General features: G+C 36.0%; 1 long non-coding RNA gene across 3 annotated transcripts; it reads left to right on the top strand.

Moving 5' to 3' along the window:
- Window positions 1–1610: 1610 nt before the first annotated feature.
- LOC101927664 (uncharacterized) lies at window positions 1611–5648 on the top strand. Of its 3 annotated transcripts, none has more exons than XR_245572.4 (3): window positions 1611–1709; window positions 3858–4014; window positions 5148–5648. It is a non-coding gene; the product is annotated as an uncharacterized LOC101927664 (long non-coding RNA). The 3 variants fall into 3 exon arrangements; XR_942881.3 differs by having other exon boundaries at window positions 1611–1734; XR_942882.3 differs by lacking the exon at window positions 1611–1709 and adding an exon at window positions 2289–2325.
- Window positions 5649–12353: the final 6705 nt, after the last annotated feature.

Genomic DNA, 12353 nt, shown 5'->3' with positions numbered 1-12353 from the left:
AAAGACAGTAGGCAATTTCTAAGAGTGGGACAGGGAGAAATAGTCAACCAGATTATACTTCCTTGGTTTAAAAAATAGAACAAATGCTAGTTTTAAAAAGAAAATTATAATGACTAGGGATTTTCCATTTTTATATGAAACCTATGGTTATGAAGTAAAACCTTCAAGAAATATGGCTAAACAATAACATCAGTTATCCAGCCATCTTTACCAGCTAGAGTCTGCCAGGTGTTTTGCATGCATCATTGTTCATGTTCATGACACTGAAGCCTTGCACTGTATTAGCCATTTTACAAAGAAAGAAACTGAAATTCAAAGAAGTTAAGTAACTTGTTCATTATAGATACAAGGGGCAAAACTGAGATTTGACCCCATGTTGACCAACTCCAAAGCCTATGCTCTTAAAATTTCTTTTACCTAATTCATTGGCATCAGAGCTTTGGCCAAGAAAAAACAAATGGCCAATTGTGATTTGGTCATAACTATGCCAGAACATATTTTGTCAAATTTGAAAATGTTTATTCAATTATGACAGATCAGAGAGTTTTCTCTTTTGAGGATCACCCACCATGAAGCAGTACTACACAAACAGAACTCACTTAACATGAAGAAGAAAAGGTTATGGAAAGATGAATATGCTTTCTGATGATAAAATTCATAGTATCAAAAATGAAATTAAAAGGTGAGAGCTGGATTCATAGTACTTACAATTTATTAAAACTAGTAAACCCATCAGGGAAATATATAGCCTCATATGAATTACGTGTGTGTTATACCATTCTTCTGAAAAAGTTAAGGACTGAGCAAAAAGTCCTTGAAAACAAGGTTGCCTTCATCCAAAAGTGGCTAAAACTGAAACTGTGGTCTGTTTAGCTGTACCAAAAAAAATTACATAAGGACAGCAAAATGAATAGAAAAACAAATAATCCATTTTTTTTCAATAAGCAGTAGAAAATAAATGAGACAATAAAGTCCTTTCTTGAAGACGAATGAGGCAAAATATTTTGAACTTATAAATTGTTATTAATTTTGCCTGCCCAGCCCCTCTTCATGCTGTAGACTCTACTGAGAGCACCACAGAAGGATGGGATTTTTTTTTATTCATTCATTCATGCAATAAATACTTATTGAATAGCTACTATATGTCAGATGCTACGATAATCACTAGGAAAGCTGAGATAAATACAACAAAGAACTTGACCTCATCTCGCTTATATTCTAGTAGGAGAAATAGACAATAGCTATTTAAGCAAATAAATAAATAGTAATAAGTGTTATGAATTAAAATAAGAAAGGAGAATGAGGTTGGGAAAGGAAAAGTTTATCTAAGGTAGTTGAAGAAGGCCACCTTGAGGAATAATATTTGAACAGGGACCTGAATAACAAAAAAAAGAAGCTGATGGGAGAAGACAAGTGTTCCAGGAAAAGAGAAAAGCAAAAGTAAACCATAGATGGAGGAAAAGTTTATGCCTAAGTAAAATCCAGATTACTCTGCCTGGGTGGAAAGAAGTTAGAGAAAGAGAGGAGATTACATCATAGAAAGGGTTGGCATCCAATCAGGGACTTTTATGATTTGGAATCTGGAATGTTTATTTTTAGTGAGACTGAAAGCTAATAGGCAGCTGCCAGCAGTGGAGTGACAGGATAGAGAAACAACTGTAGAGGAGCAAGAGATGATGGTGACTCAGACCAAAGTGGAAGCAGTGGAGGTGAGGAGAGCTGGTCAAATTCCAGGTATATATTCAAAGTAGGGCCATTTGTGGTGATGCAGCTATATGGAATCAAAAGAAAATCGAAGACAACTCCGGGGTTTTCTTTTAATCTAAGCAGAAATTAGACCCCATTTGTCACTCCATACAAAAATCAACTCAAAATGGATCAAAGACCTAAATGTAAGACCAGGAACTATGAAATAATTAAAAAGAAAACATAGGGAAAGTGTTTTAGGACATTGGTCTGGGAAGAGATTTTTATGAATAAGACCTCAAAAGCACAGGCTACAAAAGCAAAACAAACAGAAAGAAATGAGATTATATAAAACTACAAAACATCTGCACATCAAAGAAAACAACCAACAAAGTGAAAAGACAACCTACGGAATGGAAGCAAATATTTGCAAACTATTCATTCAACAGGGGATTAACATCCAGAATATACAAGGAACTCAAACATCTCAACAGCAAAAAAAACAAAAAATCCAATTAAAACATGGACAAATGGTCTGAACAGACGTTTCTCAAAAGAAGACATACAAATGGCCAACAGATATCATTTCACCCTAGTTAGGATGGTTATTATCAAAAAGACAAACAATAACAAATGCTGGTAAGGATGTGGATAAAAGGGAACTCATACACTGTTGGTGGGAATGTAAGCTAGTACAACCAATATCAAGAACGGTATAGAGGTTCTTCAAAAAAACTACCAATAGAACTAGCATATGATCCAGCAATCCTACTGCAGGGTATATATATCTAAAGAAAAGGAAATTAGTATATCAAAGAGATATCTGTACCTCCATGTTTATCGCAGCCCTATTCACAATAGCCAAGCTATGGAATCAACTTAGGTGTCCAACAAGAGATGAATGGATAAAGAAAATGCTGTGTATATGCACAATGGAATACCATTCAGCCATAAAAAATTAATAAATACTGTCATTCACAGCAATATGGATGGAGCTAGGTGACATTATGCTAAGTGAAATTAACCACAAAAGGAAAGTTAAACACTGCATATTCTCACTCATATGTAGATGCTGAAAACAGCTGTTAAAAGTAGAACAGAGGATAGCAGATACTGAAAAGAGTAGAGAAAATGGGGGAATAGGGAGAGATTTGTTAAAGGATACAAAATTACAACTAAATAGGAGAAATAATTGCTACTGTTCTATACCACTGTAGGATGACTATAGTTATTGAATGTTCTCAACAAAAAGAATTAATATGCTAATTACCCCCATCTGATCACTATACATTGTATGTATCAAAACAGCACTATGTACTACATAAATATGTACAATTATTGAATGTCAATTTTTAAAAATTAAATTAAGCTTTAGAAAAAGTACTTGGTGATACCACTTCACACTAAGAAGGCTCTTTTCTAAAAAGCAGTGGGAAGTAACAAGTGCTAGTAAGTATATGGAGAAATTAGAACTCTCATACATTGCTAATGGGAATGTAGAATGGTACTGTTACTTTGAAAAGCAGTTCAGCAGTTCCTCAATAAGTTAAAAACAAAACTACCATATGACCTTGCAACTCTACACCTAGGTATATACCTGAAAGAACTTAAAACAGGTGTTCAAACAGGAACTTGTACATGAATGTTTATAGCAGCATTATTCACAGGAACCAAAAGGTGGAAATAATCCAAACATCCACAAAACAATAAATGGCCAAACAAAATATCCATACAATGGAATATTATTTAGTTATAAAAAAGAAATGAAGTACTGACACATGCTCCATAGATGAACCTGTAAACATTATGTGAAGTGAAAGAAACCAGACACAGAAGTTCATGTCGTATGATTCCATTTATATAAAATGTCCAGAATAGGCAAATACACAGAGAAGGAAAAGATTAGTGATTGCCAGTGACTTGGGGAAGGGAAAAATGAGGAGTCATTGATTAATGGGTATGGGGTTTCCATTTGTGGTGATGAAAATGCTCTAAAACTAGATAGTGGTAATGTTTGTACAACAATTGTGAATGCATTAAATGTCAATGAATTATACACTTTAAAAAGGCTAAAAAGATGAGTTTTACCTTATATAAATGTTACCACAATTTTTAAAAAACCATTTGTCGTCAAAACAAAAACAAACCAAAAGAAACGTTCTGCTCAACAGGAATCATGGTAATTGTCTTGCGCAAAGTATCTTCCTTTAATATGGCAGAAATATTAGTGTGAAAGACAGAGGACTCTGAAAAGCAGGAGCAGGAAATTTAAGAAAAACAGCAAAAGCAGACATGAAGCTGAAGAACCACAGAGGAGCCAAATTACAAGTAAGCAGAAACTTTGAGTCAACAAAAAGTATACCATAGAGTAAATCTGTGAGTAGAGGATGATAGTTAAGCAGAAGTCACAAAATCAGAGGGAACCCAGCAGAGAATTGAAGGCCTGAGCAGGCCCCATAAAGCCTGGTTCCACAGAGAAGCCTTGAATCTTGAATGACTCTTCCTTCTAGTGTAGCCTCTAAATTGTGTCTGTAAGCATGGCCCCTGTTCCTTTGGAATGACCTAGCTCTTCACAGACTTTGTAAAACCCCATCTCCATTACTGCCACATCAGTAACTTAATAATAAATCCCCATTATTTGAGATACCATCATGGTCTTACAGCCAAATATCCTGAATATTCACTCACTCTATTTTTCAATGGCTTTCACTTTGCCATCAACAATTAATCAGCAACTGCAATTAATAGGATAATTAATTGCAACTGCAACTGCAATTGTAGGATAATTTTCTATTTTGTGGGGTTTGGAAGCACAGAAATGAAGGAAAGGTTTATAAGAGGAGGGAAATAATGGTAAGGAGCCTGACTGATGAGGCTCCAGGGTTTGGGGTTGCAGGGGTCTCATGGTCTTTATTTTCACAGCCAATTAATGCCTAGATGTTGGTGCAAGTTGCCCCAAACAGCGAGAGAGTAGTCCAGGTTTTAAGCGGATCCCGTGTTCCCAAACTAGAGTTCTGACAACCAATGAGACAGCAACAATCATCCTGATATCTTTCAGACCAGCAGATTTGCTTGGAATCCCAGCTTACATAAATCAGTGATCGTTTTCTCAATCTATTTCCATTGGCATTATGAGTAAAAGTCTTCACAGATTTACTCTTCACAGAGTCTAGCAGTAAATTGCTTGACAGTTCTAGTTTTCTGTGTGGTGAAATTAAATATTTTATTAAAATGTTTTTGTATAGATTCACATGTGAACTATGCAAGTCTCTTTCTCTGCTTCTTTGTTCCTTATTTTTTCTTCCTTCTTCTCTTTCTTTCTTTCCTTGGATTGGGTAGAGTAGGGTGGGTTGCAGGTAGTGAAGGCAGCAGACAGTCAAATGAGTCTTAATATTTAGTGTTTATAATAATCCCGTCACTTGGCAGAAGATGAGCTGTAGATCTCTTCATTCTTATTACAGGCAGTACCTGAAACACATTCATCACAGTCAAAAGGAAGTGAAGAGACACAGAAGGGAAGCAAGATACTGAGATGCTGCCAAGTATCCCAGAGTCCATGATGGAGTAGAGATGAAACAATAGACCCAGGTCATTCCTCTGCTGGAGGTTCTGAGGCAAGCAGTAGTGCTCTGCAGATGAACATTCATGACAACTTGCCTTTCAACTGGAGGTGTGTGACAGCCAGAAAAATACCATCGAGGTAAAGCTTTTTTCTCCTAGAGGAGCAACTGACTCACCGCAGCATGTTGTTATGTGGACCTCGAGTCTGTGGACTAGTGACCTTCACCTCCTTCAGTGTGTGGGTCTGTCCAGGGCTTCCATCCCTCCAGTAAGAACCCTAACCCACATTCCTGCATTTGATAACTTTGAGTTAAATCAAGAAAAGCTTGGAAATTTGGACATAGTTGTTTATAAGTCACTCATATTATCTATTAAAGTCTAAAAATGTTGTAGTCCCTGAATTTAGTAGAACAATGTCTGTAGTGAGAGCAAAAATCTTTCAGGGAAAGCTTACTCCTCCTGATCTTCACTCCACATACTTCACTGATATTGGACAACTAACCCTTTAAAAAGGTTTTGCTTGGGCTCCTTCAAAGCCATGAAAAGTACCAAGGTATATCAAAGTTCACTATCCTTTCCATATCTTCCATAATCCCAGTCACCCTTTCTATCAGACACAAAGTGGGGACATAGGCAGTGCCTTAAAGCATCCTATCATCTACACCTAATTTGGGGCACATATCTGATAATACTGACTCCTAAACCTTGATTCTGAAAACCACCATCTCTCTATTAAATGATCAAGAACATCCCACACACAACACCGGGCAATGATACATCTTCATGTATTTCCTGAATCTAGGTTAATTAATCTACACGCAGCTTCATTTGGCCTAGTTTCTTCCACACCTTTACAACCCTGGTATTCATAAGGACTCTGAGAAACAGTTATAAATAATTCTTAAATATAGACTGTCAAATTATCTTTTTACCAGCCACTTTCTCTGGAATGCTCCCTCTACAGTCTGGTGTAGTATGACTTTATTTGAAGTCTACCAGCTTTAACAGAGCTCATATCCCACTGATGAAGGCAAAATATATGACTCCTAGCTCATAGCATCTCTTTTAATCTTCCTTTCTGTTCCCTGGGCACTGTGACGCTGCTAAAGTTAAAGCTGCAACGGAAACAGGAGATACATCCTCATACATTTCTGTCCTCACACTCACCTTCTGTCTCATCCCTGAATGTTTCAAATTTCAAAGATTTTAATGTGAGTTGAAATGAATAAGGCTCTAATGACTCTATCATCCACATTTATGTTAGACAAATATACAATGTAATCTACATGAATACGCATGCATTCTTAATGCATTACCCTAAAGAGAATATCACAAAAGAGGAATTTTAAAATAATGTACCTAAATTCACAGCTATCTATCACACTTTACACATAGGTGAAATTATCTGAAATCACCGTGCATGTATATTTGGGGTCAGAGAGTTTCTGAAATTTTGAAGCAGAGAAAATTATAACAGTAGGGAATACTTCTGACTAGTCTCCATTAATGTTTTTGAAAACTTGCACTTACCAAAATATGTTTTCTTGCTTTTCAAAGTCAAGCATTAATTCTTAGGAGACTTTTAACAATTAAAAAAGATGTGTTTTAAATTTTGAATATTCAGAGGCTAATCTACTTACTATCATTATCAGCAATAAATCAGGTCTATGATATCTGCACTGATACACAAAGTAAATAATTCAATTTCCTCATCTTCAAATTGCAGGGAAGGATAACTCAGTATTAAATTATAAGACTTGAATTGTTTGCACTTGCTTGAACAAGCTCAAATGCAAATTGTAATTCTTACACGTATTTTTAAACAATCAGAATGTAAAAATCACTGTGTGACAGCAAACCAACTGAAGAAATTCAAATTCAAGTTTGTGTCAATTCCTTTGCAAGGTATCAATAACTAGCTCTGACAAACTGTATGCGCTGAGGCAAGATGCAAATCTTCTATTTCAATTTATGTAATTTTATTAAATCATTCATATGCATACACCAATCATATTGTCAGAAATCACTTTAGTGACTGACTTAATGGCTATCTATCATGTTTTAAAGTGATTCTAATTCTAGGTTGGACATTTCACTACCATCAATATCCAAAATATTTACTGAGGTCTATTATGTTAAAAGTATTTTTCAATCCAGCATCCTTAACTCTGTTGCTCATAGTTCTGGTTGTCAATACCACAAGAAAGTTTTCCTGTTGAATGAATTGAAGTCAGTAAGTGCTCTCAGACTTCCTTTTTTTAAAGTGAACTATCAGTTTTGTTGCTATAAGCTGGTGTTTTCAGAGTAAAAGAGTGAAGGGTTTGAAATGACAAAAAGGTTTCCTTTGCCTCTCATAGCTACACTTTAAGTTGATGTGTATAAGGAACATAGCATTACCTGTATTTTGAACTTAGAGAAAAAAAAATGCTCCACAACTTTTTTGAGGACATGCCACTGTCACCACAGCTTCCCTATCTAAATGATTCCCTTGGGAGATAACCCAGTCTTACCTGACCCCATGCTATGGCCTCAGTTGATTGGCTCAGGAATAGACACTTCATTCAAGCTGTGCCAAGTAAAGCCCTTCCCAGGGATATCTTTGGACTGAAACTGAAAAAGTAGAACGTCTTTTGTTTTGGTGGAAGATATAGTATCGAAAACTCATGAACTTCTTGTGGCTTATATTCAGCCCTCTGTCGTGCAAACTAGAAATGATGATGGCGATATACAGAATAGCAAAGATGAGACAGGTTATGTCCTGCTGTCATTGAGGTTCCTGGTCACGACTGCTTATGAGAACCAGATGCTTCTCAGCTTTACTGTTGAATTCTTCTATGGATTCTGACAGATAATTTTTAGTTTGACTATGGTTAGTTAGAACCCAAAGAATCCAGGCTGATATTTTTAAGTTATTATCCAGAAAAAGGTTTTCACAAGGATAGAACCTAAAATTTTGATGTGGCTGAATCCAAATAAAATGTAAATAAGTATATTTTTGAAGGTTGAGGTTTGGAATCCAAGAATTCCATATGAACACTTTTATTACTATGTACACTTTTTGAAGGTGGTAAAGCAGTTGGTTAAACTACTGCCTGTCAGCTCTTGGGTTCAGATCAAGTAATCACGGAGACTTGAGCCTTAGGGAGATTGATAGGAAAATGCTGCCATGACTATCATAGGGTGTTGGCCACTTCCTTCAGCATTCACAAAAATAAAGTATGGGAGAGACAAGCTGACTCACTGAAAACTGACAGAGAACAAAAAAGCATGTGGGATAGCTTTGTTATAAGACAATATTGACTCCATAACATGAAATTTCTGGAGATCAGATAATAATACAATTTGATGAATTGCAGCAAACTCTTTCTCACCCTGAAGTGTTTAGCTGACAGGCAGAATATTAGCTCCTAGAAATTGGAATAGGTGTATTCCAGAGGATCTAGAGTTATTAGTAGTCACTGATTCCTCACCTTTCCCAGAAAAAGGTGATAAAGCTTCCCATTAAAACAATGTATTTGGGTTCTTGTTAAACATGACAAATTAATCCTAGGTGCCTACTTCTTTGAGCACCACCCAAGTGATTACTAAGAGAAATAAAAATATATAAACCTAAAGCCAAAAAGAATGAGATAGAAGACAACTGCAAAGAAAATATATTAATAAAATTTTCAAAGGTAGAAAGAGGAAAGAGCAGTAGTAACTAACTGACTAAACAGAGTTGAGAAATATTTAACTTAAGTGCTTATAGAGGTAAGATACTAACAGGAAATGAGCTAACATATCCCACCCATGAAAGGCTCAGGGTTGAAGATACCAGATAAGTGTTAAATGTAGTTAAACACATTTCAATTGATGGATTTATTGACAATTTATTTAAATAAAGAGTAGCTAGAAGTCCTATCTCTCCTTCTCAAAGAGAATAAATAACCACCCCTTCAACAATTTTCCAAAAGAAAATAAAATATTTTTTCTCTGAAGAAACCTAACCAGAGAGGGTCCAGACTAAAGGATGCACAACATCCTTTAGTGTTGGCAAAGTATGAGACAAAAATGGGGATTAATGAAAATGCACATATTGAACTATTGGATGCCAAGAACTTTCATTGCTCCCAGAATTCTTCTCTGGAGAAACTGAACAGCTCTAGATGAAAGATATCTATGTACTGATTTTCAGCATCCTGCCAAAAAAAAAAAGAGAAGGTTTATCATGTTCACATCATACAGTGAACTCCATCAGAAAAACATTCTGGTGCTTGATACACACATTTACAATTTACAATCAACTTTTTAGTGACTCTTAATTATGAACAGCCAGAGATCACCAGACATTTGAGAAAATCTTCCAGTGTCAAGATGGGCACCAAATTAAACAAAAGGGATGCAAAGGAAGGAGACAAACCAGAAAATCTTTTTTTTATCCTGTAACTAATAACCTCAGAGAGTTAAAGAATGCAGCAAATGCTTATGGAGCTCTTGTTACAGGTCAAGCAGTGTTCTAAGTGCTTTAAGTGTATTCATTCATTGAATAATCACAACAGTCCTATGATGAAGGCCTTATCCTATTTTACAGATGAGAAAATTTAGTAATTTGTCTGAGTTTGCACAGCCATTAAATGACAGAGCTGGGATTTGAACGTAGGTGGTCTGACTGCAGGTCTACCTCTTAACCACACACTACAATGCAATAACATAAGAAACTACTGCGTGTCAATAAAACAAGTTTCACCAATCAGAATAAGATAGAGCTCTTATAGATAGAAAAAAGGTAATCATTCTTTAAAATATAGTAGAAGAATCAAAAGATAATTCCAACAAATCTCCCAGGAAGCTGAATAAAAATACAAACAGAAAATTTTAAAAGATAATAAAATTAAAGACTCAGTATATGAAGCACAGAATATCCTAAAAACCTGCAGAAAGCAAACAGAAGCCCATGTATAAAGGAATGGAAATTTAAATAGCACCACTTTTCTTTTTTTTAATTATTTTTTAAGTTTCGGGGTACATGTGCAGGAAGTGCAGGTTTGTTACATAGGTAAATGTGTGCCATGGTGGTTTGCTGCACCTGTCAACCCATCACCTAGGTATTAAGCCAAGCATGCATCAACTCTTTTCCCTAATGCTCTCCTCACACTGCCCTTCCCGAACAGGCCCCAGTAAGTGTTGTTCCTCTCCCTGTGTTCATGTGTTCTTTGTTCAGCTCCCACTTATAAGTGAGAACATGTGGTGTTTGATTTTCTGTTCCTGCGTTAGTTTGCTGAAGATAATGGCTTCCAGCTTCATTCATGTCCCTGCAAAGGACATGATCTCATTCCTTTTTATGGCTGCATAGTATTCCATGGTGTATATGTACCACATTTTCTTTATCCAGCCTATCATTGATGGGCATTTGGGTTGATTCCATCTCTTTGCTATTATGAATAGTGCTACAATGAACATCCATGTGCATGTATCTTTATCATAGAATGATTTATATTCTTTTGTGTATATACCTAGTAATGGGATTGCTGGGTCAAATAGTATTTCCAGTTCTAAATCTTTGAGGAATCACCACACTGTCTTCCACAATTTACATTCCCACCAACAGTGTAAAAGCATTCCTATTTCTCCACAACCTCACCAGCATCTGTTGTTTCTTGACTTTTTAATAATCGCCATTCTAACTGGTGTGAGATGGTATCTCATTGTGATTTTGATTTGCATTTCTCCTGTGATCAGTGATGTTGAGCTATTTTTCATATGTTTGTTGGCCGCATGTATGTCTTTTTTAGAGAAGTGTCTGCTGCTCATATCCTTTGCCCACTTTTTAATGGGGTTTTTTTATTATTGTAAATTTGCTTAGGTTCCTTGTAGATTCTGGATATTAGACTTTTGTCAGATGAATAGATTGCAAAAATCTTCTCCCATTCTGTAGGTTGCCTGTTTGCTCTGATGATAGTTTCATTTGCTGTGCAGAAGCTCTTTAGCTTAATTAGATCCCATTTGTCAATTTTTGCTTTTGTTGCAATTGCTTTTGGCAATTTCATCATAAAGTTTTTGCCCATGTCTATGTCCTGAATGGTATTGCCTAGATTTTCTTCTAAGGTTTTTATAGCTTTGGATTTTACATTTACATCTTTAATCCATCTTGAGTTAATTTTTGTGTGAGGTGTAAGGAAGGGATCCAGTTTCAATTTTCTGCATATGGCTAGCCAATTCTCCCAGCACTATTTATTAAACAGGGAATCTTTCCCCATTGGTTGTTTTTGTCAGGTTTGTCAAAGATCAGATAACAGTACATTTCTGGATTATTTCTGAGTTCTCTATTCTGGTCCTTTGGTCTACATGCCTGTTTTTGTAGCAGTACCATGCTGTTTTGGTTACTGTGTCCTTGTAGTATAGTTTGAAGTCAGGTAGTGTGATGCCTCCAGCTTTATTCTTTTTGCTTTGGATAGTCTTAGCTATGCAGGCTCTTTTTTGGTTCCATATGAATTTTAAAATAGTTTTTTTCTAATTCTGTGAAGAATGTCCATGGTAGCTTAAAGGGAATAGCATTGAATCTATAAATTGCTTTGGACAATATGGCCATTTTCATGATATTCATTCTTCCTATCCATAAGCATGGAATGCTTTTCCATCTGCTTGTGTCCTCTCTGATTTCCTTGAGCCATGGTTTGTAATTCTCCCTCAAAAGGTCCTTCCCTTCTCTTGTTAGCTGTATTCCTAGGTATTTTATTCTATTTGTAGCAATCATGAATGGGAGTTCATTCATGATTTAGCTCTCTACTTGTCTATTTTTGGTGTATAGGAATGCTTATGATTTTTGCACATTGATTTTGTATCCTGAGGCTTTGCTAAAGTTGTTTATCAGCTTAAGAAGCTTTTGGACTGAGACAATGGGGTTTTCTAGATATAGAATTATGTGATCTGCAAACAAAGCCAATTTGATGTCCTCTCTTCCTATTTGAATACCCTATATTTCTTTCTCTTGCCTGATTGCCCTGGCCAGAACTTCCAACACTGTATTGAATAAGACTGGTGAGAGAGGGAATCCTTGTCTTGTGCCAGTTTTCAAGGGGAATGCCTCCAGCACTTGCCCATTCAGTATGATACGAGCTGTGGGTTTG

The sequence above is a fragment of the Homo sapiens genome, chromosome 6 (genome assembly GCF_000001405.40).
Source record: "Homo sapiens chromosome 6, GRCh38.p14 Primary Assembly".
Taxonomy (NCBI): Eukaryota; Metazoa; Chordata; class Mammalia; order Primates; family Hominidae; genus Homo; species Homo sapiens.
The sequence above is the reverse complement of the archived record's forward strand: the minus strand, read 5'-3'. Positions and strand labels throughout refer to the sequence as shown.